The 25,754-nt window shown below is 39.9% G+C and overlaps 2 protein-coding genes and 1 long non-coding RNA gene across 10 annotated transcripts in view, besides 2 other annotated features; 1 reads left to right on the top strand and 2 right to left on the bottom strand.

Annotated features, from left to right (window-relative positions):
* Positions 1-1,770: 1,770 nt before the first annotated feature.
* On the bottom strand, positions 1,771-14,841 carry RWDD3 (RWD domain containing 3). Of its 7 annotated transcripts, none has more exons than NR_103484.1 (5): positions 14,681-14,841; positions 9,186-9,219; positions 4,345-4,431; positions 2,339-2,454; positions 1,771-2,240 (listed from the first exon to the last, which is right to left on the bottom strand). NR_103484.1 is itself a non-coding variant. In NM_001278248.2 (5 exons), exons 2-5 carry the CDS (start codon positions 9,124-9,126, stop codon positions 2,126-2,128), a joined length of 759 nt encoding a protein of 252 aa, NP_001265177.2. In that variant the 5' UTR covers positions 9,127-9,219; positions 14,681-14,786; the 3' UTR covers positions 1,771-2,125. The 7 variants fall into 7 exon arrangements, 5 of the variants coding, with proteins under 5 accessions (NP_001265177.2, NP_001265176.2, NP_056300.3 ...); NM_001278248.2 differs by having other exon boundaries at positions 4,298-4,785; positions 9,087-9,219; positions 14,681-14,786; NM_001278247.2 differs by having other exon boundaries at positions 4,345-4,785; positions 9,087-9,219; positions 14,681-14,786.
* TLCD4-RWDD3 (TLCD4-RWDD3 readthrough) overlaps positions 4,041-25,754 on the bottom strand; it is a 127,033-nt gene continuing 105,319 nt past the window's right edge. The window contains 2 exon segments of the mRNA NM_001199691.1: positions 4,041-4,785; positions 18,002-18,094. Coding sequence (NP_001186620.1) covers positions 4,746-4,785; positions 18,002-18,094 — 133 coding nt within the window. The 3' untranslated portion in view covers positions 4,041-4,745.
* Positions 14,326-14,505: a silencer, noted in NCBI's record as "silent region_1106". NCBI's record gives its function as "represses an Ori minimal core promoter by ATAC-STARR-seq in GM12878 lymphoblastoid cells {active_cell/tissue: GM12878}" and the evidence as "EXISTENCE:reporter gene assay evidence [ECO:0000049][PMID:35858748]".
* Positions 14,716-15,045: a silencer, noted in NCBI's record as "silent region_1105". NCBI's record gives its function as "represses an Ori minimal core promoter by ATAC-STARR-seq in GM12878 lymphoblastoid cells {active_cell/tissue: GM12878}" and the evidence as "EXISTENCE:reporter gene assay evidence [ECO:0000049][PMID:35858748]".
* Positions 15,014-25,754, top strand: part of RWDD3-DT (RWDD3 divergent transcript) — a 70,764-nt gene continuing 60,023 nt past the window's right edge. For both annotated transcript variants that reach the window (NR_125949.1, NR_125948.1), the window contains exon 1: positions 15,014-15,296. This is a non-coding gene — a long non-coding RNA (RWDD3 divergent transcript). The remainder of the gene's footprint in view (positions 15,297-25,754) is intronic.

Genomic DNA, 25,754 nt, shown 5'->3' with positions numbered 1-25,754 from the left:
ACTCCCTACATCTTCAAGCTGACAAAAATGAACTCGGCCCTTCAGCTAACTATTGCAGGGTGGCCAATGTACCCATAGGAAAAAATAGCCCTAAGTGCTGGGTTTACTTCTCTCCCCTCCAAGATTTAGCCCAGCAATTTTCACTGTCTTATTTACTTTGATTATTTTAAGAGGATGTGTTTTATATTTTGTTTTTAGTTTTCTTCAGTGAAAAGCTGGTCCACCATCACTGAAGCAGAAGTCTTAATTATCTTTTCATAAGTATCTCAAGCTGAAAAGAAAGCAGCAGAGTTTGAGGCAAAAAATATAAAGGCAAATAATTAAGAGTCTCTTCCTCTAATACTAAAGAAATACCAAAGAGACTCATAGCTTTTTGGTATATAATTTAAAATTTTCTTTTATCCAGAGGTCAAATTACATTTATATAAATCGCTAACTCTGTCAAGTTTTAGTTTTCTATTCTGATGTGTATGTATATGTGAAAGACTTAGATGTAAACATCTAAGAAAGTAATAATAACCAATATTTTTAAAAATAATTTTAGCAGATAAAAATATCATTAATTTGGAAAAAGTCATTACAGCAAACATTCAAGTTGATCTGATTCAAGCTCTTCTGTAAAGAGTCAGATTTGAAGATGAAAGGCTAAAAGGGCACCAGAAAGCATAAGCAGGAATATATTTTTGCAGAGAAGAGTCAAGGTAAAATATTATTATATCATGATCCCCTCAATCCATCTCAACCATATGGCCAATATTCTCAACTCTATTCTTTTTCATTATTTTAATTTTCACTGAAACTACAGTAAATCAAATGAAGGGGTAATAATGAGCAGTCCCAAATTTTCAAGCCTATTTTCTCAGTTCTGCATACCAGAAGGGTAGCTTCTCCTTGCTATACATGCTGTTGCCATAGAACAATCTAACTACATTTACCAGTTCTCCAAAAAAAAAAAAAAAAAAAAAATCAACACACTAGAATGAGAGTAAACTGAACATCTCCTCATTAAAGAAACCCCATAAAATAATCAACAGATAGGTATAATTAAATTATAAAGGTACCTGAAAATAAGACAATCAGATTGAACTGACATCATCACAGAGCATTACTGTCAGGAAACACTGCTCAGCATGCCACATTCTCCTCACTTCCCTCCCCCATCAGTTATAATTATATAATGATATCACTATACTTCATAGGTGGCAGCCAAAGGGATTCACTTGGCCTTTCTTCCATGACTCAGCCCCTTATTTTAGCAGCCCAAGTGGCTTCATGCGTACAAATATCCTTTCCGAGATACAAATATCTACTTATGTTTTTATTACAGATTTTAATACAAGTTTTATCTTACGGCTTCTCTCATTAGGTCATGATAAGTATGTTTCACCATGTTTTGACCGATTTCATAAGAAATAAAAAATAGTATTTTTATATAATTTCCTCCATCTTGCAAGCCAGGTTCATTCTGTATGAACATTTCTCTTCTTATAAAACAAGAAGTTCAATTTTTCAAATAAGAATTTTAATTGGAATCAAATCTCTAGTCCTAAGGCTAGCAAGTATCATGCTATTCTAGAACACCCTCAAAAAGCAACTATAAATCTTGTTTTATAGAACTTTGCAGTTAAACAATTTATGCAATTCCATTAAAAAAAATCAGTGTTATATTTTTCTTAACATTTATTAAAACATTAGACATAACCTGGATGGGGGAAAATGGCGATCAAATGCTAAAAATATAAACATAAGAAAAGCAAACATGAAAACAAATCTTTTTTAAAAAATCATTTAATTACAAGAAAATTAGCCAGAAAATTACATAGTTTCAAACAAATATTGTCTATAAAAACAAGTGTTCATTTACCATCTTTTTAAATTTATCTTTTAAATAATGTCTCATCTACTGAACCTAGCCTTTCCTGGCAAACATTAGAATATACAAGTTTTCTTCATGTTTAATATTTCATAAAACAGAACTGGCTTTTGTTCCTGAAGTTAGAATGATGCCTATCATTTTGCTTCAGAGAAACTTTAAAATTGACTATTTCAATTAACCACTCCCCAAATCCAATGCAAAAACAACAAAAAACACTGCTATTTTACTAAAAGATTCCTGTCTTCCATTTCATTTTACCAGAGCAAGTACAAATTCGGAGAAAAGCTTCTTAAGTCCTGCAGTTTCAAATTCCTTTTGTAATTCATCCAACGCTGAATACTCTTTGACTTCAAATGCCAGAAACCTGCATTATACAAAAGAAACTCATGAATATGCCTAGATTTGTCAGAGTATAATTATCGATTCAGTTGCTTTTCCATCTGCAATAGTACTAAATTATACCTTTTGTGTTCTGTCTGTACTTTTGTTTCAAACAGTACACTAATCATTTTCTCTTTGCATTTCTTTCCACTTGAGTCCACATCTACTTTGGAGGTTTTCTGAAGAATCAAGTACTCCTAAATAATAAATCAGTACATTAAATACATATCTTACTCTGAGTCTCAAAGTCCCAGTTTTAAAGGAGCTATAAACCTGTAGGCTTATTTTCATGCTTAAATACCCCCTTTTTAAATCAAGCAGTAAGAATTTTTATATACTTGTTTTAACATACTTGGCAGAATAATGTAGTGGTGGATACAGGAGTAAAGAACAATATAATCCAACTCCTCAAGTTTAAATCTGGATTGAACTGCCTACTAGTTCTTACTCTGGGCTGGTTACTTAAATCCTCTGTGGCTCAGTTGCCTTCTCCATAAAATGGAATTAATAGCAGGATCTACCTCATGGGGAAGTTGTACTAATTAAATGAGATAATACATGCAAAGCACTAGAGGAGTATCTAGATATAGCGCCATGGCACACTTGAGAGCACAAGCCACTGTTCTTACTATTACAAGTTCAGCAGCTAAATGACATTACCAGGCACACAGCACTTACCATTCCAAATTGATAGCATCTATAAATATGTACCTATACATCCTCAATCCTAGTATACAATCTTATAAAAATATAAGAGAAATTTATATAAAATGACATTTTAGAGAGAACTGAAAAAAGATCTCCTAAAAAAGTATTCTTTCTCTACATTAGCAGGGTTCTAGTTAAATATGAATAGATACCTGTTAATTAATTGATGTTTCAATCTGAGTAAGAACATCTGCAAAACAGCTGGGTTTAGCCTAATATTCCTGAGCTGGCTTAAAGAGAAATCTGAGTCTTTCAGGTAAAGATGAGCATGAAAATTAATTTGTATTTATTTTTTGTCAGCTACTATTTTACCCAAAAGGATCAAACGTTATAGATATACTACAAATCACTTTAAAACAAGAGGTTCCTCAGTCAGTCCCAATCCAAGATATGCATTAAATCTGAATTACTGTTATATCTATATACTTTAACCCAGCATGAGTCTGGTTAACCAAATGCCAAAGCAGTTTTGTGGTAAGAGCCCATCATGAAAAAACTAAGTCATTATTCTACAAATCTTTAAGATTTGTCTTAAATAAATTCACTGTTCACACTAAATTTGTCTTAAATAAATTCAAATGTAATTATTCATGACCTAACCTATCTGAAAGTATAAAACCTATTGATTTGTAGCTCTTCTAATATTTAAAATATAAAAAACAGTTTTCCTCATCTTGTCCCACCTAAAACAGGTCAGATGAGTTTAGAATAAGAACTTGAAAAATCTGAAGAAGATGATGATTTTGAAAGCAACTGCTGAGACAAGTCAGGTGGAAAGCAAAAGTTAGGTAGGAGGTGACAAGTTGACAGCCCTAATGATTCTACTTCTACTAACATGAAATCTCGGTTATAACAGACAAGCTCCTCTTTCCAGGTATTATAGATACCAAATTAAAGTGTCAGAATGTATTTTTAACAGCCAGAAAGTTACAAATCTTGCAGACTATCCACAAATACACACCTTGCTGTGCCTAACTATGGGAAGAAATATTAATATGCACAAACTTTTAGTGCACATTTATAAAATTCAAGCTCATAGCTAATTACAGAAACAAACACTCATGTGCCACAGAGCTTTTAAATAACCTGTCACTTTATTAAGTGACATGATTTTTAAAATGCAATCTTATTCTTCAAGCTTTGCAAGTTTGTACTTGTAATTAGCAGTCAGACATTCTTTAAAAAGAAAAGGAAGATCCATTAAGATTGTAATAATGAAAGCAGAAACATCTTAATAATTAATCTATCCCATTGTTATAAAACACACTTAAAGACACACCATTTAAAGCAGAAAATAGCCAGATTCATACTCAACATTTAACTTTTTGGCACCTTGAGGTTGTTTCTGTCTCCCTGTAGTAAAATCAGTATTATTTTACCCATGAACATCAGTCTTCCTGTCAGCCTTAAATCTGAAGCCCACTTCTCCACAATTTTGACATATTTAGTCTTTGCTCTCATGTGATCTAAATGCAAAAGAGTTATCCACAATCCATCATCCATGGTCGTGCTTGTTGAAAAAGTACACTTTTCACTGCCACTGCCAGTTTCTGGTTGGCTGAGGATATGCCTGAGATTCTGCTGAATCCAGAGAACCAGCTCATGAACCATAGGCTCCGACAAAAGGCTCTCTGCTTGCTCAAGTAAATTCTCTTTCACAGTCACACACTGGGCCCTGGTCAACTGTTCAGAGTTAATCGAGATACCAGGTAGACATGAAGGATAATTGACTGGCAAATGGAACACCAATTCCAGAGGTATATCCACATCCATAAATCCTTCAGCTTTTGTGTGAATTCTGAACACGGTCCCATCTGTCTCTGGAAGGCATCCAAAAATAATCATTAGCTGTACATTATTCAATTTGAATGGAACACCAGCAAGTTCAAACTTTTGTCTCAAATGTCAATTTATTTTTCATGAGAAAACTCTGAGCTATTTTATGAAGGGACACGTAATACTAGGAAAGCTATGATTTACAAATTATTTCCTTCAACCATACACATGTATTCATGTATTCACACACACCAGCACCCAGGATTTAACTGGCATTTACACTTGCTATCACCCCATTTTTATTAAGTTACCAGAAAGGTTTTTCATCAGATAATTTTTTTTCTAGCCAGATTTAGTTGATAATTCTGAAAATCCCTAATAAACTCATATGAGCTTTCAAAGATACAATACCACATATATACAAAATCAGTAATTAACTTAAAAATTGTACACTAAATCCAACGAAAGTCATTTTATGAGAAGTCCAAGTCAAAGCAAGCAATGGAATCCCCTGTGGTTGTAGGGTTGCAGAGAAACTGATGACTGCATGTGACATAGTAACTGCCTGGAATGTTCTCTTCTTATTTCACATATATTAGTATCAGTATAATATGAAGGTGGCAAGATGAACTGAAATTGAGTGGACATCAATTCTGCCTCTTCCAGCTCCTAAGAAGGAAGGGGAAAGCACACATAGGATATCATATGAAATCCTCTGCTCTCTTTCAGATTTGCTTGGCTTCACCCTCTGATGTGTTCCACACCACTTCATGCCACTTTTCAAAAAGATGATAAAACGTCAGGCTGAGTAGAACAGAACTGGGTGCAAATAAATCTCTCTGAAGCTAACTTGCCTCTCTCTACCCCTACTTCCCTCTGCACGTGCCTTTGCTTTATTCCCCTGCATGAGAGAAGCAGTCAAATCTTTCCCATTTTCATACCTGGATTGCTGCTCAACAGCCTCAACAACTGAGACCTGAATGTATCCCCATTTTAAAGAACCTAACAGAACATTAAAATTGTTTCCTGAGCCTTCTGATTCCACATATATAAAAGCCATTGCTACAGATATTGATTCATACAGGACCAGACACATCTGTTACAGAGTTTTTCTTTCATACACTCTTCAGTACCAGCTGCAAGGAACGACTATTTTAGGACATCATCTGGAAACATAGACAGTTAACCGTTAAGAAGACCATATTAAAATGATACAATTTATATGTGTATTTCATAAGAAGAATTTTCCAAATCTAACTTTGTACATTCCTCCAAAACCCATCATGTTTCTCAAAACCCTTCTTCTTCTATCTAGTTACTTATTCTTTTTTTTTTTGAGACACAATCTCACTCTGTCGCCCAGGCTGGAGTGCAGTGGCATGATCTCGGCTCACTGCAACCTCCGCCTGCCAGGTTCAAGCAATTCTCCTGCCTCAGCCTCCCGAGTAGCTGGGATTACAGTCATATGCCACCATGCCCAGCTAATTTTTGTATTTTTAGTAGAGACAGGGTTTCTCCATGTTAGCCAGGCTGGTCTCAAACTCCTGACCTCGGGTGAACCACCCGCCTTGGCCTCCCAAAGTGCTGGGATTACAGGCATGAGCCACCGCACCCGGCCTAACTACTTACCCTTTTAAAAAAAAATACTTTATTGTTAAAGTAGGCTGCCTATGTTAAAATAGTACATTTCAATATGTAAAACAGACATTACAAATAGAACTGCAGACAACACACAACCATTTAGGCTGAATAAACTTTCTAATAATCATCTAGGGAGTTGACATTCTCTCTTCAAGAAGGAGGAGAACTTTTAAAGATCTTCAATCATTCATCATTGAACAAGCATTCACTGAACACCTACTAAGCTCAAGGCACTGTACTAGTCTCTGAGGGAAAATGACAGGTAAGACACAGATCCCATCATATTGACTCAATCCAGTGTTTCAGAACACGAGAGCAGGGATATATCCCAAGTGATCTTCCTTGACTTCTCTTCTACACCTAAACATTTCTTTATTCATAAATATGCGTACATATACATGTACATATAATTTATATAAACATAAATGTCTGTGTTGGTAGATAATTCTCCAGGGATCTGGTGTGGGAGTTCAGTCAGGGTGGTGGGAAAAACTGCAGAGGAAAAATTGTAAAGATAGTTATAGGAAATAGTCACAAACCTTCTTAGAAGGCTGGGGGGTGGTGGTGCATAGCTTCAGTAAAAGATTTGGCTGAAAGCAGCCGAATCCTCTTTACCTCGAGTTGATAGCAAAAGAGCAAATAACAAGGGAATGTGGGAGAGTTTACCTAAATAGCTTGTTTACTCATGTGGTCCTAAGAGCAACCTTTGATTATCTGTGGGTGCATGACTGCTCTCCCCTGGGGGGGGTGGGGAGGGGTGGCAATGTTAATTACCTTCTAGTGGTGTTTACTCATGACCCTTGTCATTTAATCTGTACTAAATAAATGTGAACTTCACCGGCTTATCATGGCCTACACTGCAGATTCAGGAGCAGAACCCCTTTAGCCACACTGACAAGCAAAATGTCTGTGTCAGTGTACGTCTCTCATCCATCACTAGGTCAGTGTCTGCGGGTCGGATGCCCACAATCTGGCATTTCTGAATGCCTTCTGAGCAAAGGGCATTAATATCTTTGTTCAAGGACTTTTGCATAACCGACAGCCTTGGAAGCTAGAGTTTATCCCTCCAGGTCAGGGGGCAGATTTGTTTCCTAAGCAATATAAGGTAACATATTCCTTCAGGACAAAGATTGAGCAGGATCACTAGCAGCTCCCTCATAATACCGGAGGGTTCCTAAGCTCACTGCCCCTCAGCTATAACAAAGACCCACTGAGTGCATTGTATGCACCTCAGCCTACCTCTACATCACCCCATTGAACTTGGGGGACAAGGAGAATCAATGTGAACATGAAGCTAATGCTGCCTGCTGTGCATTAAGCAGTAACTGTCCAAATCCATCTGGGTTCACTGTCTCCTTACTGGCTGAATCCATGGAAGTGTGTTAGTGACCAAGGAACTGCAGTTGTCATTGCTGCCTAGGAACTGCTGGGCCACTTGATTATACTTTTTTTTTTAATCATCTTGCTCTTTTTCACTGTTTTATCTGAGAAAGAAGTGTCTTCCTCCCTTCCACAGGAAACTCTATCACTGGTCTTGTGCTTGTTTTTTGTTTTTGTTTGCTTTTTGAGATTGAGTCTCACTCTGTCACCCATGCTAGAGTGCAGCAGGGTGATCATGGCTCACTGCAGTGTTCAGGCTGGTCTCAAACTCTTGACCTCAGGTGATCCACCCGCCTCAGCCTCCCAAAGTGCTGGGATTACAGGTGTAAGCCACCACACCTAGCCTAGGCATAAAATCTTAAAGCTGCCTTCAACTTTTTTTTTTCCCTCCTTCTTTCATACTTAGCATTCAACTGCCAAATCCCACAAGTCCTCCAGAATTTCTCTCCCTTCCACCCTCCTAATTCAGGCCTTTCTCTGGCTTCTGCAATAGTGGTCTCCTCGCCGCCTGCCTCTCCCCACACCAAATTATCCCAATACCACTCTCCCAGAATGAAATGAATTACAAATTCCTCCATGCAACGCCTAGGGCCAGCCTACCACTCTGACTTCCTCTCTCCTCACTTTTTGCTTCAACTACCCATTTTATACCATGTCCTCAGTCTTGGGTGTCCCATCTCTGCCTCTTGCTCCCATTATCTCCAAGAAGGCCCTTAACTTTCTGTCTACTAAAATTTTGTCCAGTTCCACAGTTCCTCCCTAAGTCCCACCTAATGACTTCCATGGTATTTCAAACTTATTTTATGGTATTTTCATGTCCAGAATTATTGTGGTTAAACTAAATTAACATTTTTTCCAGCACTGAAATATCTTGATTTTCTTTTTAAACAACAACCAAAATGGGGGGATACAAAAAACTTTTAAATTGTACAGTCATACAGCTCTTGGAATTGTGCTAGTAGCTTGTAATCACGGATCTCACAGGTGCAGAAATCCCTGGTACCTGTGGTAAATAATGGGCCCAAAGATGTGTACATTCTGTTTCCCAGAAGCTGTGAATACGCTCCCTCACATGGCAAGAGAGCCTCTGCAGACATGATTAAGTTAACGATTTCGAGAGGGGAGTATTATCCTGGATTACCCAGGTGAGCCCTGAATGTAATCACAAGGGTCCCTATAAGGAGGAGACAGAGATTTTACTACAAAAGAAGGCAATGTATCCGCACTGAAGCAAGATGCTATGCTGCAAACTTTGAAGAATCCTTTTCTGATCAAAACCCTGAGACCCACAGTGTTCTCCAACCTGTGCCATATAAACACCTACCGGGTCCTCTCTGGTGCAGGGAACCACAGGAAAGAAACATGTTGGTAGTCCAGGGGGAAAGTCTTGAAAAGCTACTGAGCCAGCCATGTCAGTCCTTACCAATTTTCATTTTTCTCTGTGTTATTTTCTGGTCCTAGTCAGCAAACAGAATAGCAATGGGTGAAACTCCTGACTTTCACCTTAGAAAACTGTGACCGTCATACTAGTTATATGTTCGGAAGAAAACTGCCTTAGTTCTTTTAAGAATTGGAAAGGATTAGCATTCTTCCTAATTGGTCTTGGTAAATCCCCCTGCCCACCCACACATACACTGTAGCTGCAAAATAAGATTATACAAAATGATACTGTCATCTCTACAAGAAACTGAAAAGCCCAATAACATACTCCATTCTTCTGGTATTTAATGTGGCAATAAAATTACATACTTTTAAAAACTCATTTTCTCCCAAAAACTCTAGAAGTATGTATTGTACTCTTCCATATCTCATCTGCTTGACATTGTACAAGCAATTAAACTGGCTCCTTTCTGCCTCAGAATTTTTCATATGACACATGCACTGTAAGTCTGATTTTTTGTTTTCTTTTTTTGCCATAATAAAAAAGAAAACAAAGTTGCCCCTATCTGCTTTAAGGTTATTAACAGCTTAGAAACAGTGATTAGCAGAAAAATAATTATGCTCTAAATCTAATACTAATCTCTGCCCCTCCTTAGCCCCCCAGAACCTTAGTTAATAAGCTTAATTCACAAACTGATCATTCTCAACAAACATCTATGCCCTAGAAAACTTAAGGCTTGCCCCAGAAAACTAAAATCTCCATAAGTCCAAGGGTGTTTTCATGTATTCTAAAGACCCTACCAAAAGGGTCTTGCCCTCTTGTTCAAGTTGATACAAATTGACTACTTGTTGTTTCTAACCAAATCATTCTGTCTTATAGTAAGTGTATCATTTTCATACCTAAAACACAAACTGAAACAGGTTTCAAACCTTATGCTTCCTTACAAACATCAGAAAGTAAGCTCCTAAACACATTCCAAACAGAAATTCAAACTAGAGAAACTTAAACTTTTAGAACTCCAAATTCACACTAATGCTATTTTTAAGGTTTCATTCTACTTAATAAAATACAACACACAACAGAAACTCTATAAATGCAGTCAAATAACAGAAGACATTTTTAAAAAAAGGTAAAATTTAAGAGAATGGGTTTTTCAGGATTCACTAAGAGCCCATTAAGAAATTGTTTACATACCATATACATCTGACCTTCCCTACACTTGTGTTTTTTTTCTTTGCAATTGTTATATATCCTCAAGATACAACTTTGAAGAAAACCACCAAGAAACCTTCAGCACCCTCTCATACTTGGTAAGACAAGACTGTCTCCTCTTGCTCCCAGGCAGCTCCCAGGCAAGCATACACCAGTGCTTGTTTTATGCTTCAGTTGGATTTTTACATAAGTTTCAATGTAGCTTCAGAAGAAAAAAAAAAAAACTAAAAATAAATGAAGCTAAAAGTAGCAATCTCATCGGTTTTATAGAAGTCAGCTCAATACTGACAATCAGCATAAAACCGAGCTGAGCAGATTTAGAGGGGTCAATGTGTGACAGTCATGATTCATTTTATAAGAAGGCCCAAACTAATTTGAACATTAGTGTTGCTAAAATACAAAAATTCACTCTGCAGCTTCTGTGAAAACCTATTACATGATATTGGGTTCTCCCATCTTACAACTTTTTTATCTGTAAGATTCTTTCCAGAAGCACAACTCCCACATATAACGAACATTGACTATGGCCACATAATCTGTGTCACTCAATTTCCTCATCAGGAAAATGGTGATACAATACCAATCTCACGCCTCTCATAGATCCACACATACATGCACAAACACTCCCCTTTGGGATTGTTCTGAACATAAGTTGGCTCACACTCATATCTTTTCTCTGGGTGCTCATTATCGCTCTTTCTGCACAAGTATTTCCTTGCTTTCCAAGAACTATTTTCCTGATGCAACAGCCCCATCTCTCTATTAAGGAGCATGATGCAGTGCAAAGGCCCATACACCTGGAGCCTGGTGGTTATTTAACCAGTCTGAGTATCAGTTATCTTCTCTGTGAAGTAAGACCAATAGTACCCCTCATCAAGTAAGATGCATTTCAAGTATCACGTACATGGCAGGTCACCCCATCAAATCTGGCACCTGGACTGACTACAATGCATACAGAAAAACAGAATATCCCTAATGTGGTCTATCCACAGCCCTCCCTTGTAGATGGGAGTGTAGGGACTTACTTAATTTGCACCCCTAAGAGATGGTTATGCCTCTTACTAGAAGCTTACTATAACCATTGTAAAGAGATCAAAAGGCAGATAAAATCCCCTGAAATTCTCAGCATAAAATTAGTCCAGCTAAATGGAATCCAATTATTTAGCTTCTTCAATCTTACGGCCTTAATAGTTGATCCTTGGGTTAGCAGTCTGAGTCTTGCTGGGTTATCTTGTTACCAGGAATGCAATTCCTCTGCAACATTCTCCTGATTCCAGTGGCAAAAGGGAGAACCTTATTTGGGGGAGGCCAGAAAAGAACTAGTGTTTAGAGTGTTCTGGTATCAAGTGTGTATCCTCCAACCCAAACTGACAGTGATGGTGAGTGGTAGCCAGCAGTCTGCTGCATGTTTACTGTGGTCTGTTAAAGAAGTCCTTACTTTGTAAAAAGATGTTACGAAAATCATGGGAAAAAAAAAAAAGGCCTTTACCTTACCCCCTTAATTCCCACTTGTGAACATCAAACATCCCCATTTCAATCACTGAATTATTCTACCTCTCAGCAACAAAATGTCCTAAGTTGTTACACTGAATTCTTTTATAATTCAATTACTTATTGATGCCAGAACATGGAATTAAACTAATTAGGAGGCATGGCTTGAAAGTCATGCTCAATTTAACAGCAGATAAAGGGTTCACAGTGTTCTCAAGATTAAGAAACTGTTTTCTTTCTATGCTTACATTTTTGGGTTTTCTCTGACCCTTCAGCAGTGTTTTATGCTCAGCTGTGTACTAATGACCCAGACCATTACCAGTTCTTTAAGGTGTGATGGGAAATTGCAGGTTCATTTTTCCAGGATATTCCCAACTGAGCCATAATAAAGGAATTTAGGAAAACTGATGATCTCTTCAAATAGCTGCCTCAGGCAGAAGTAATTATCAATAAAGAGAACAGTGGAGACAGAGAGGGAGATGGTGAAGAATTATCCAATCAGAAGAGGGATGACAAGAAAACACTAAAAGTGAGTAAACCCCTTCATATGGATTTTAAACAATTGTTTCAAAAGATACAAGTCAGGCTGGGCACTAAAAAGAAAGCAACTCCATTACACTAATAGGTGCATAGTGCCTGGAACATAACAGTGCCCAATGAGTGGATGTGAGTGGATGAATGCAAGAAGGAATAAATGGAAGTCAACTCCCTGTCCTTCAGTGAATAACACACCCAATGGATATCATGAAGGATCTTAATCTTAAATGGTTTTCTCACAACATCCAGCCCATTTTTAGACTACTTTTTTTTTTTTTTTCTGAGACAGAGTTTCACTCTTGTTACCCAGGCTGCAGTGCAATGAATGGTGAGATCTTGGCTCACTGCAACCTCCGCCTCCCGGGTTCAAGTGATTCTCCTGCCTCAGCCTCCCGAGTAGCAAGGATCACAGGCGTGTGCCACCATGCCCAGCTAATTTTTGTATTTTTAGTAGAGATGGGGTTTCGCCATGTTGGCCAGGCTGGTCTTGAACTCCTGACCTCAGGTGATCTGCCCGCCTCGGCCTCCCAAAGTGCTGGGATTACAGGCATGAGCCACGCGCCAGGCCTAGACTACCTTCTTAAAGGTTAACCAATTTATGGTCAGAAAGCCAATTTTAATGGTAGCTACAATATAACATTAGAACGATAAATCTCATGCCCCAAACATGTACATAATGTATCTGAAAGCTAAGTGAAAACTGAGTCACTTTCTCATACATGGCAGTGTTTTTTCTTTTTTTTTTATTCAATAGAAGCCACATACAGGGACAGTAAGTTTCACCTATCATCAAAAAATAGTCAAAAGAACCTCTCTACACTGTAAGCTCCTAGAGGCCATGGGTAGCGGTGTCTCTGAAACCCTGACAAAGTCTGTAGGCAGCAGGGATTCAATAAATGTGGGCTAAATGACTAATAAAGCCCTCAAGAGCTTGTTTAAAAAAAAGTATCAGAAGGCCAGGCACCTGTGGCTCACGCCTGTAATCCCAGCACCTTGGGAGGCCGAGACGCGCGGATCACGAGGTCAGGAGATTGAGACCAGCCTGGCCAACATGGTGAAACCCCGTCTCTACTAAAAATACAAAAAATTAGCCAGTCATGGTGGCAGGCGCCTGTAGTGCCAGCTACTCGGGAGGCTGAGGCAGGAGAATGGTGTGAACCCAGGAGGTGGAGCTTGCAGTGAGCCGAGATCGCGCCACTGCACTCCAGCCTGGGGGACAGAACAAGACTCTGTCTCAAAAAAAAAAAAAAAAAAAAAAAAAGGCCGGGCGCAGTGGCTCACGCCTGTAATCCCAGCACTTTCGGAGGCCGAGGCGGGCGGACCACGAGGTCCGGAGATCGAGACCATCCTGGCTAACACGGTGAAACCCTGTCTCTACTAAAAAAAAAAATACAAAAAATTAGCCGGGCGTGGTGGTGGGCGCCTGTAGTCCCAGCTACTCGGGAGGCTGAGGCAGGAGAATGGCGTGAACCCGGGAGGCGGAGGTTGCAGTGACCCGAGATCGCGCCACTGCACTCCAGCCTAGGCGACAAAGCAAGACTCCGTCTTAAAAAATAAAAAATAAATAAAATAAAATAAATAAAATTCAGCCAGGCATGGTGGCACGCGCCTGTGATCCCAGCTACTCGGGAGGCGGAGGCTGCAGTGAGTCCAGATGGATCCACTGCACTCCAGCCAGGGCAACAAGAGAGACTCCACCTAAAAAAAAAAAAGTATCAGAAAAGCAATCAACTTGGAAATAGAATGCAGATAAAGTTGAGGTTGAGCACTGGATAAATGAAAAAGTTCAGTCAACAAACATTTACCTACTACCTACCAGGTGCCTGGAGTCATTACCAAACAGACCCTGCCCTCCTGCAACTTAAGACCTACAAATACCCGTGTAGAGTTAGAACCGGGGAGTGCTCTCGGGGGGGCCTAGGGCATAGTGCTTAGGAAGGACACAGAACAACGAGGGGGCGTCAGCACAGGCTTCTTTATAGGGTGAGATCTGAGGGGTGGGAGGCTGGGGGAGGGCCTGGGGGTGCGCACGCAGGGGCCCCCGGCTCCGGGAGCGGGACCGGCGGCAGAGGCCCCAGTGGGCCGCGCCGCTCTCTTAGTGTTTCTGGGGTCGCCTCACACTCCCGCCCGCTGCGACACCACTCCGGCCTCCGGGCGTGTCATTCCATCATTCAACTAACCCGGTCCCCATACGTGGGCCCAGGCGGGGTGCCCAGGCTCCGTGGTGGGGAGGAGACGCAAAGCGAACGCGGGTGGCCCCTGAGGGCGCCCTGTCCCTCCCGCGCGCGGGTAGTCACCTGAGCGGCTCAGCACCTCCCACTCGTGGGGCCTGCAGAAAATCGCGGCCAGGACCGAGAGCTCCTCCTGCACAGGCTCCGCCATGGCTGTGGGCCCCACCGCCTCAGCGCTTCCCCTTCCGCTGCCGCAGCCGCCGCCTCCACCGGCCAGGAGCAGCACTGCCCGCGGCCACCCGGGGGCGCCCCGCGCCTCCGCAACCGGGCGGGACGGGGGCGGGGCGAGACGGAGCTGGGGCGAAGCGAAACGGGACGTGGGCGAGGCGAGTCCGGGCGAGGGTCAGGGCAGACGGGGCGGGCGGGGCCCTTAGAAGTTCCGCCCAGAAGCTCCTGCTCAGTAACTACAGACGCGAAGCTCAGCCTCTCGGTTTGGGAATTTTCTTGGAGGCCGAGGCCCTGCGCCTCTGTCTGCACCCAAGGCGACCGCCCAGCTTACCCCCGGCTCTTCTGAGCACAGGGAGGCCTCCCAGCAAAGCCTGAACCCTCTAAGTTTAGCTGCAGGCTTCGAACCCCGACCGTCCCCGCCGAGCCTTGGGCTGCTGAGGTGGGGATGAACTGGGCGAAAGACACTTGGGAGTTAGGAAGAAACAAACAAGCAGGGAAGTGACCAGGAGACAAGGTGAGACTTTGCCCGGCTCAGGTCTGAACTGAGTGTTGGAGATAACCACAGTTAACAAAATAAACAAAATTATTCGCCCCCGTGGAGCTGTTAGCAACCCTGGTGCCTGGGAAGCCTGGAAGAGGCTCGGGTTAGTAACAACCTCCAGGATGCCCTCCGAACTGGTACTGGCGCCGGGACTCTAGACAAGGTCCAGATTCCCGGGCCCTTCCCCTTACGGGTGCAAAAAGGGAGGGTCAGGACCTGCCAGTCCTGGCTTCAGGATGTTGACTGGACGGACCTGGACTCATGGGAACTGTGCGCCAAAGTCCTGGGAGCAAAGTGTCATAACGCTCCTCGTTTGTCTCTTGCCTTCACAGGAGACAGCCCTGCTGCAAGCGGCCAGTGGGAATCCTTGGCCTTTGGGGGTATGATCCAAGAATGTAAACGCTAGCTTTTCAGTGTTTTCGATTTCGTGATATTCAATGCATACAATACAATGTGACTCTTGAAGCTTAATAATAAAATTATCATTCTTGAGCCCAGCACCTAAATTTTAAAATGTGAGCAATACCAATAGGGTAACAGAATAAGCAATCCATTCTGTTTTGACTATAGTGAACAAGATTACAAGACTTATCTGCAGTTAGGTCTGTCTCTCGGATGTTTGCCTGGTCTTTTTGCTGTTCAAATAACAGTTTAAAATTTGGCAGTCCCCACAAGCAGCTGGTCTTGCTCATGGAGTTCTCACAACTTTTGTTTGTATGAGAAATCACATTTCATGAGATAAATCTGGGAATTTAGGTTGTTAGGCAGTGACTCCAGTCACTGACCTACGGAAGTCAGAACAAAGTTGGCTGATTTTAAAACCCTGCATCCATTCACCATTACCATTCCCGCTGTTGGTAAAAAAGGAATCTGATAAAGGAAAAGATACTGGCTTCCCGGAACAGAAAGGAAACCTAACAAGATGGACTGCAGGGAAAATGCTTTTCAGAAGATGCCATGGGATTTCAGTGACCCCGAGTAATTAGGAGCACATAATTGGGAAGATGAAGGCTTATTTAAATGCAGTTATCTCTGATATGGCCAATTGGCTTGAAGAAAAAAAAAACTCCTTTATTTCCAAAATAACAGACGTTCCAGCAGTTCAGTAGGTTCATAATTAACTGCTAAAGAGATTGAACAAAAGAATACGTTTTTAATTTAAAATATTACTAAGTTATTTTAATTCGAAATCCAGTGTTACTATGAAAAGTCAAACAATTTGGTTTTTGACTTATTTATTGAAAATAATCTATAAAATAGGCTGGGCGCAGTGGCTCATGCCTGTAAGCCCAGCACTTTGGGAGGCCGAGGCGGGTGGATCACCTGAGGTCAGGAGTTCGGGACCAGCCTGACCAACATGGTGAAATGCTGTCTCTACTAAAAATACAAAATTTAGCTGGGCGTGGTGGCAAGCACCTATCATCCCAGCTACTCAGGAGGCTGAGGCAGGAGAATCGCTTGAACCCGGGAGGCGGAGGTTGCAGTGAGCCGAGATCGCACCTTTGCACCACTCCAGCCTAGGCAACCAAGCGAGACTCCGTCTCAAGAGCAAAAAAAAATCTATAAAATATTCAAATAGTTTTTACTTATTTTTAATTTTCCAAATTCACTATAAGTGAGATGAGTGAAATAACATGAAGAGCAAAATTACAGCTGTAGGAAGGATTAGGAGGCAGTTGCTAAAGCCTGCTGTCAGCAATAGGTCCATGAAAATTGATTAAAGAGTACATCAATCTATGATTTAAAATTTTCTTGTCAATAGGTTTCTTCTTTGCTCTTCCTTTCTCAGTTGATTTCTTAATCTGCTTTTCATACCTCATTTAGCATGTTTAAATAAAAAAGAAGTCAATGTGAATGTCTTTTAAATTGACACTATCCTAAGGCACTGAAGTCCCATGAATAAGTTTCTGCACTCTGACATTTGGAAATAATCATCTCAGAGACTGCATAATGTCAGCTTGATATTTCTTGCACTGTGAAAATATCAGCTACATGTCAAATCTCTAAAGTCTACCTTAATGTAATAAGTTTCCTCGTATTCACAGGCTACTGAAAATTCAAAATATTTAAATGTAGGATGAATGTCTACAGTTAGAGCATTGTCTACCTCCATCTCTCTCTCTCCCTTCTCACCCTTACACACACAAAGGTGTATGATTTGCTAGAACAATTATTATTTTTACAAGTATTATTTTTACAAGCAAATTTTCTAAATAGTTGCTTCCCCAAGACCATAAGGGGAAAAGGTTTAAAACCTTTCACCTTCAGTTAAAACCAATAACCCAGAAGATAGTTCTTTTCATTTTGGGGGGAAACAGTTCTACTCACTTTCTCATGAGTAGTATGTAGACTTACTCAACTCTGAGTTTGAAATCTTAAGTCAAAACTCACGTGAGCATAGAAATGAGAATGCACAATTTCAAGTGTATTAGGAGAGTTAAGTGTTATGTCAAAAAAAGGTGAGGATCCTAATACTGGAGTGGAGTGTGATAAGAAAAAATATCAAATCAAAACTGAGAAAGGTAAAAGTACTTTCATGAACCACCAAAACAACCAAAAGAGGGCTTAAATGCCAACTTCCTAAATAAATCTGAACTCCAAGAACCTGTGCTACTGGTTCTGTCTAAAGAGTTTCTGCATTCGCATACTCATTTCACAAAATGTTCTTAGACACTCACTGATTGTTGGCCGGGCTCTGCAGGCTGAGTGTGGAGAGGTGGAGAGTTAGAGATGAAAACAAGTCCATGTTTCCAGTGACTACAGCCTTTGGTCTAGACAAGTAAACACAATATGAAACAATTACAAATTCTTTCACCAAGCTGAGCATACAAGAATTATCACATTTCCTTAGCGGTGTAAAGTTCAATATTATGATGTAGGTTAAAGTAACAGAGTAGGAGTAGCATATACCTCCCACAATTTCCGAGGGGAGAAATAATTTGGAAATGCTCAGGAACACAGTAGCCCTCCAAAAGTACACAAAGTCTGGGATGTTAACTAGTCATAGTTGTTTTGTTTTGTTACAGTATACAGATCGTAAATTTATTTTTCATAATGATAAAAGCAAATAAAATCTATGAGAATTTGCCACTGGCTCTGTGATCATACCCTTGTGTGGAAAGATCTGCCTCCATCATGTCCAAGTAATCTGCACTCCCTCCAAAATATCGGCTGCACTCTGCCATGCTTGATTTCTATGCATGAATGGTATCAAGACAGTTCCAGCTTGCTTTATGGGAACCCATCCATATGGCCCAAATCCACCAATATAAAAGCTCAATGCCTTCTCAATGTTATAAAAACAAGTCACTGGTATCATTGGGGTTTTTGAGTTTTTCTAGTTAAAATAGTATCCAATATTTAATTTTGGTGACTATTATAAATGGATTCTTCTTATTCATTATATTTTCCCACTGTATTACTAGTGTAGCCAGTTTTTATTATCTAAAAGAGGGCTGAGGATTGTGTGACTTAAATATCCTTTTCTCCAAACTCATAAAGGGACTATCCATGAGTAAACTCTGCCATTTTAGCAAAAGTGATTGAAAATGGAAAGACAGATGTATATCAAGGAACCACAGGTAAAACTGGGAAAATTAGACTTGGATTTCCTTTTTAAAAATTATAGTGGAAGGAGGGAAGAAGGTAGGAAGGGAAAGAGAAAGAGAAAAAAAAAGAGGTAGGAGGAAGAGGGGAAGGGGGAAAAGGAGGAGAAATAGGGAAAGAAAAGATTGATTTTTATGAGGCAAAAGAAGTCATGAGTTAGGAATTTGTCTTTATGTAAGGAAAAAGTAAAAAAGATTGACTTGCCTGCTTCTTAAATAAAGAAGTCTGAAACTTGATTCAATAACAATATGAGGTCTGAAATTTGATTCAAAATAATATAGGAGGGAGGAAGAGGCTATAGTGTGAGTGGGGCAGAAGCTGATCATAGGTTAATGATTGGTGGGGTGGAGTGATGGGTACATGAAGATTCAGTATTTCATTCCCTCTACATTTGTGTATTTCATATTCTTTTTAATAAATGTTAATTTTTAAAATGTGTTCAGTAGATAATACATCAGGATATTTGAGTTTTGCCTAATGCTCAATTAAGGGAAAAAGGACAAAAATAAAGCAGGAAAATAGGGAAGAAAAAGGAAAACCGGGGCCAAATGGAGTGAATAGAGTTGGTGGATGATATTAAGAGACAGAAGATGACAGGTTCTAAAGTGATGTGTTTAACAGATGTATGATTTACGATTAGTTCAGGTGAAAAAAAGCACAGAGCCTAACAGTGCAGTGGCTTTAACAAGATACAATTGGTTTTCTCTTAAACGTTCAAGTGTGGAGGTAGGCAGAGCTTTGGTGCTCCCCGGTGTCAGGATATAAGTTCCATCTATTTTGTGGCTCTGCTCTGCACAGATTTGATTCCCATGGTCATGCTGTGGTTCAGGGTGGCTTTTGGAGCTCCGATCACGAGTCAGAAGAATGGGATTCAGTCCAATTTCATTGACTAGGACTCAGTCCCCATGACTGCTGCCAGTTAAAAGGGAGCTTGAAAATGTTGGTTTTAATCTGACAGGCCCTGTACTCATTAAGATGAGTTTGGGTCAGATGGATAGCTTGCAAATATTTTTTTTCCCATTCTGTAGGTTGCCTCTTCACTCTGCTGATTGCTTCCTTTGCTGTGCAGAGGCTTTTTAGTTTGATGTAATCCCATTTGTCTATTGTTTATGTTGCCTCTGCTTTTGAGGTCTTACCCAAAAAATCTTTGCCTAGACCAATGTCCTGATCCATTTCCCCTATGTTTGCTTCTAGTAGTTTCATAGTTTCTGGTCTTAAATTTAAGTCTTTAATCTATTTTGAATTGATTTTTGTATATGGTGACAGATAGGGATCTAGTTTGTCTCTACTAGAATTTAAAGTTCCAGTAAGCTTCCAGGGGCCTTATCATGCTTGTTCACCTCTGTATCTTCCATACCTTAAACAGTGCCTGGCAGATTAGGAATTCGATACATATTTATTGATACAAATAAACTCATCATAAAGTTCATAAATTCTTGATAAAATAACTTAGACTTAACAAGCACCTACTATATGCTAGTCATTTTGTAAAATTTCAGGTGTTTTTGTGAGTGAATGAGACATAGTCACTGCCCTCCAGGCACTTGGAATCTAATCCCAGAGGGGCACCAGCATTTCCTGGGATAAAGTGATGAAGGTCCTGCCAAAGAAGTAAAAAACCATTGGAGAAGGCCTAGGATGCCTGGTTTGGCCATTGTGATAGAGGTTCCCCATCATAGGGTAAGCGGGGGAAGAAGAAAGCTTAAGGAAATGTGGCTGGAAAGATAGATCTCTGCCTTTATTCTTCAACAAGCACTTATTGAGCACCTTACTATGTGCCAAGTATTGCACCAGGTCCCAGGGAAACTGGTTTGCAACAGGATCTCTTAGAAGTTGTAGTATAGTGGGAGAGACAGGTCTTAAAAGATCATACATGGCCGGGCGCGATGGCTCACGCCATCGAGTGATTGCTGTAATCCCAGCACTTTGGGAGGCCGAGACGGGAGGATCACGAGGTCAGGAGATCGAGACCATCCTGGCTAACACGGTGAAACCCCGTCTCTACTAAAAAAACAAAAACATTAGCCGGGCGTGGTGGTGGGCGCCTGTAGTCCCAGCTACTTGGGAGGCTGAGGCAGGAGAATGGCGTGAACCCGAGAGGCGGAGCTTGCAGTGTGCCTAGATCGCGCCACTGCACTCCAGCCTGGGGCGACAGAGCGAGACTCCGTCTCAAAAAAAAAAAAAAAAAAAAAATCATACATGTGGTCATCTGCAGCCTGTTGAAATCATGGGAGTAGATGATTGCCGGTCTGAATCTCAAGAATTTCACAATGACGGTGATGTACTTCCTGGCAATGAAACAAAGAAGCACTATTTTGCTCGTGTTTCTAACACAATCTGGATCAAAACAATAACCCCTTTGTGGGAGTGTTTCTGCATTTCCCTGTTGTTTTTCACTTTTTAACATTATTTCCTTCTGTTTTTAGTGGGGAAAAAAAGTCAATAGAAAAAATCTCCCTTGTAGCACAATTGCCACCTGCTAATACCACATTGGCTTTTGTTTCTGTCTGTCTGACTGCCCCTCTCTCTCTCTCTCTCTCTACGTCTCTCTGTGTGTGTTTCTATCTCTCTGCCTTAGTGATATAAAAGCTATCTAAGAATAAAAGGCTAGGCTATAATACTTTGTCATTTGTTGTTTTAGGTAAAATCCTTGTCTATTTACGTGATTCTCATTGCTGTTCAAAACATTAATTAGCCAGACATTTTTTCACTGATAGCTTCATTAGTTTCAAAATGAACATTATACTTCCAGATGAAACACAGCCAGAGCTTCTACTCTTGGGATCATATTACCACATACTTTGTCATTACCTCTTTCCCCTTTTTCCTAAGATAATTCCTTACTTCTCCCTCTGGTGAACTCTTATTCATTCTTCAGGTCTGAATTCCACTCATCCTATACTTCCCCATCACTTATCGTAGGGAACTGTATTTGCTTATATGTCTATAATCCCAGTAGATTATGATTTTCATGAGATGAGGGTGCATTTCTATGTCATCTTTGGTTGTATCTCCAACTTTTAGCACAGGGCCTGGCATATAAAAGGCATTCAATATTTGTGGAATGAGTCAAGAATGAATTAATGCATGGTTATAGTGTATAAGTAAATAGGTTATGGTTCACTTTTCTTATTACCTCCACTCTGATTTCTACCAGATTTTATCATACCTTGAACATGTTGACACACATCAGTGTTAAGCAGGCAGATTAATACTGATGTCTTTACTTGATTCACATTGAGAGTAGTGAAGAAAATACAAATGGGCAAATGCAACAATGGATTAATCCTAACGAAGCCCCACAGCTTCATACGGGGAGCTGAAAAGAGGAGTGCATGTCACCTTTACAGTAACTTTTCACATTTGACTAACAGTTGCTCACAGTTACCACTTCACTTGATTGTATTATGCGCAAATAAAAATGGCTTTTAAAGTAATTTAAAGCTACTATGCAATATAAAGTTTTGACATTACTGGGTTGAGTCTGGAAGTCATGTGGTAGGTAAATCTATATAGTGTTTATGTCCCAAACTGTAATGAGATACCCCATGGTACCTGATCCAGGCTAGCTAGAAATCTATCCTATTTCCACCTGAATAAGTGAGTAGGGTATAATGTTCTGTTACTATACAAGTTACTACTAATTATTTTTAAAATAAGTCACTCAAGGCAAGTGATGTATAACAATATAACCACAGTAATTAAAATTAAGAAGAGGCACTTAGATATCTTAGTCTGTAAGTCATGATCTCTTAAGAAGCTTCTTTTTCTTTTCTTTTTTTATTTTTCTGATGCTTCTCCTTTTATTTTTCTGATACTTCAATATGTTGTTGACCATGGCTTAAATTAACAGATCAGATTATGTTGAAGGGGGCAGGGGATTCACTGGAGAGGGACCCAAGGGAACTTTTTATTGTTGATTAAAATGTTCTGTTTCTTAATTGGGGTAGTAGTTACATGAGTTTAAGCCATTTAACTGTATCTTTAAGAGCTGTGCATTTTATTTTATGTACATCTCAATTTTTAGAAGTATTGGGGGAAAACAGACAGGTAAGCAAGTTCATAATATTTTCATAAGATTCCTGTTTTTTTCTGAATTTGAGCTGAATATGCTCTCAGCTTAAAAATTGAAGGGAATTTATTCTTTTAAAAAACATGTAAGCTTTGCTACTGCTTGATTTTTATGTTATAACAACAAATCTTGGCAAGAAAAAATACAGGTTTCAAGTGTCTTCAAATGGCACCAATCTGTCTCTGTGAATGAAATGCTAATAGAACTGAAGAAAACCAAATCTTCACTTAGGGAAAATTGTTTTTAGCCTAAAAGCTCAGCCTACCATTGTCTGTTAATATTAACCAAAAGAAAAAAAAATGATTGATTCAAATACACCTCATTTTACACAGACTGAGTAGTTACTCAAATTTTTTATTTTTTTTTTTTGAGACCAAGTCTTGCTGTCACCAAGGCTGGAGTGCAGTGGCACAATCTCAGCTCACTGCAACCTCCACCTCCTGGGTTCAAGTGATTCTCTTGCCTTAGCCTCCTGAGTAGCTGGGACTACAGGCATGAGCCACGATGCCTGCCTAATTTTTTTGTATTTTTAGTAGAGACAGGGTTTCACCATGTTGGCCAGGCTGGTCTTGAACTCCTGACCTCAAGTGATCCACTCACATCAGCCTTCCAAAGTGCTAGGATTACAGACAGGAGCCACTGCAGCCAGCAATTATTCAAATAATTTTTAATGCATTAAACAAACTCGCTATTTCAAATAATTTTATAATTATATTTATTTATTTATTTTTTTTTTTTTTTTTGAGACGGAGTCTCGCTCTGTCGCCCAGGCTGGAGTGCAGTGGCGGGATCTCGGCTCACTGCAAGCTCCGCCTCCCGGGTTCACGCCATTCTCCTGCCTCAGCCTCCCGAGTAGCTGGGACTACAGGCGCCCGCCACTACGCCCGGCTAATTTTTTGTATTTTTAGTAGAGACGGGGTTTCACCGTTTTTTAGCCGGGATGGTCTCGATCTCCTGACCTCGTGATCCGCCCGCCTCGGCCTCCCAAAGTGCTGGGATTACAGGCGTGAGCCACCGCGCCCGGCCAATTATATTTATTTTTGACAAAGTGAGGTACCTGTAGTGATATGGGCAGTCTAGTATTCTTTATGTATCACTTTTTATTTTATTATTATTATTTGTAGAAACAGGGTCTTGCTGTGTTGTCCAGGCTGTTCTCAAACTCCTGGCCTCAAATGATCCTTCTGCCTCAGCATCCCAAAGTGCTGGGATTACAGGTGTGAGCTACCATGCCCAGACTGTATATCACTTTTTAGATGCATTTTTTATATATATTTTAACGTCTCTGAAATCAAGAAGCTCCAAAACATCAATGGCATCTCGCCTTGGCATTAGCCAGGCAGCAGACAAGATGGCTTGTACATGCATTATTTTGTCATTTCCTTGATGACTTGATTTCTGAGATCATGAAATCTTATAGAATGGCAGAATGACTATTAACATCTTGGAAAGAAGTCCTGGAGGTACTAGTGGAGTTTTGGGGGGGATTGTTTGTTTGTTTCTTAAGAAATGCAGTTTCACCAATGCTATCAAAGAAACAAAGGATAATACATATGGAAGAATACAGACACCAATGCCTCTGAGTTGAAATGTGGTTCACAGACAGAATGTTAACAAGTTTTGGGAATACTTTAGCCAAGTTTTGACTGATATGTTCCTTTCTATGTATGAATAATAGTGATATTTGATCATATACATCTAACTAAATCTAAAAGAGCTTTTTAAGAAGTATAAAATAAAAATTTCAAATGGTAAATAACCCAGAGTATAATTGGCAGCTATTTTCTTTTGCAGAGCTACATAAAATAGTGGTCCATCTCACAATTGATGGCATCTTAGGTTCTATGAAAACTGATCTTTGTCAGTTGGCTTTGTGTCTGTTGGTTTTTCAGCCAGGGTTATGGTGGAAGAGTAGGGACGAAAGACCTATAATCAAATAATATCTTAAATGTATAACAATAACTACCATTTATTGAGTAGCTACTATAGGCCAACAGTTATGCTAATTGTATTATGTACATTATTGCATGTTATTCTTCTCAAAAACCCTGAAAGGCAGTTATTATTGAACTTTTATTCCTTCAGAGACATTAAATAACATGTCCAAGGTAAAATTGCAAAGCAGAATTTGAACCTAGTTTTGAGTGACCCCCCCCCCCCCGCCAAAAGCTCTCAATTTCTGTACAGTAACTACCCTCACCCCACTCCCAACATCCCTAGGAGTTCAAAGTAAAAGCTTAAAGAAGGTGCTGAGAGCTAGAAAGAGATAGAGAGAATGAGAATCCCAGCAACATTCAGTCACTGTTCAGGTTGTTCTCAAAGCCAGCTTTATCCTTGATTTGGTGGTGCAGCTCTTTCTTCAATTATGCTTTTTATTAGAATCCTAATATCAAAGCATCCTCTTTTTTTGCCTTAGCTAGTTCTATTTGGGATTTTATTCCTTGCAACCAAAAGCATACCATTGTAATCATTCACAGTTTTAATACATTTATACATTTTACTAGTAATAATAAAGTATTACTTTTCACACACCTCTAACAGCCAGATTTGAGCCCTGCTGTCTCACTTCTTTAAAAGTGCAATGAATGAAGCTGGCTGTTTCAGTTACAAGTCTGTGGCTCTGGAAGCACTGATTCTCTGTAGGATTAAACTATGCCCTAATCAGCACTGGGTAAGAAGCAGTAAAATAAGCACAAAGAACTCAGACCATGAGTCAGCTCAGTTTTCCTCAGCAGCTCTGTTTTAGTGCAAGT

Source organism: Homo sapiens, chromosome 1 (genome assembly GCF_000001405.40).
Source record: "Homo sapiens chromosome 1, GRCh38.p14 Primary Assembly".
Taxonomy (NCBI): Eukaryota; Metazoa; Chordata; class Mammalia; order Primates; family Hominidae; genus Homo; species Homo sapiens.
Note: the sequence above shows the minus strand (reverse complement) of the source record. Positions and strands in the feature narration are given on the sequence as shown.

Coding starts and splice junctions, on each gene's coding strand:
- RWDD3 (NM_015485.5), bottom strand. CDS start 14,765: ATGGCGGAGCCTGTGCAGGAGGAGCTCTCGGTCCTGGCCGCGATTTTC. Junction 4,786..14,680: donor GGAGGTGCTGAGCCGCTCAG/GTGACTACCCGC, acceptor GATGCCTTCCAG/AGACAGATGGGACCGTGTTC. Junction 2,241..2,338: donor GTACAGACAGAACACAAAAG/GTATAATTTAGT, acceptor TGTATAATGCAG/GTTTCTGGCATTTGAAGTCA.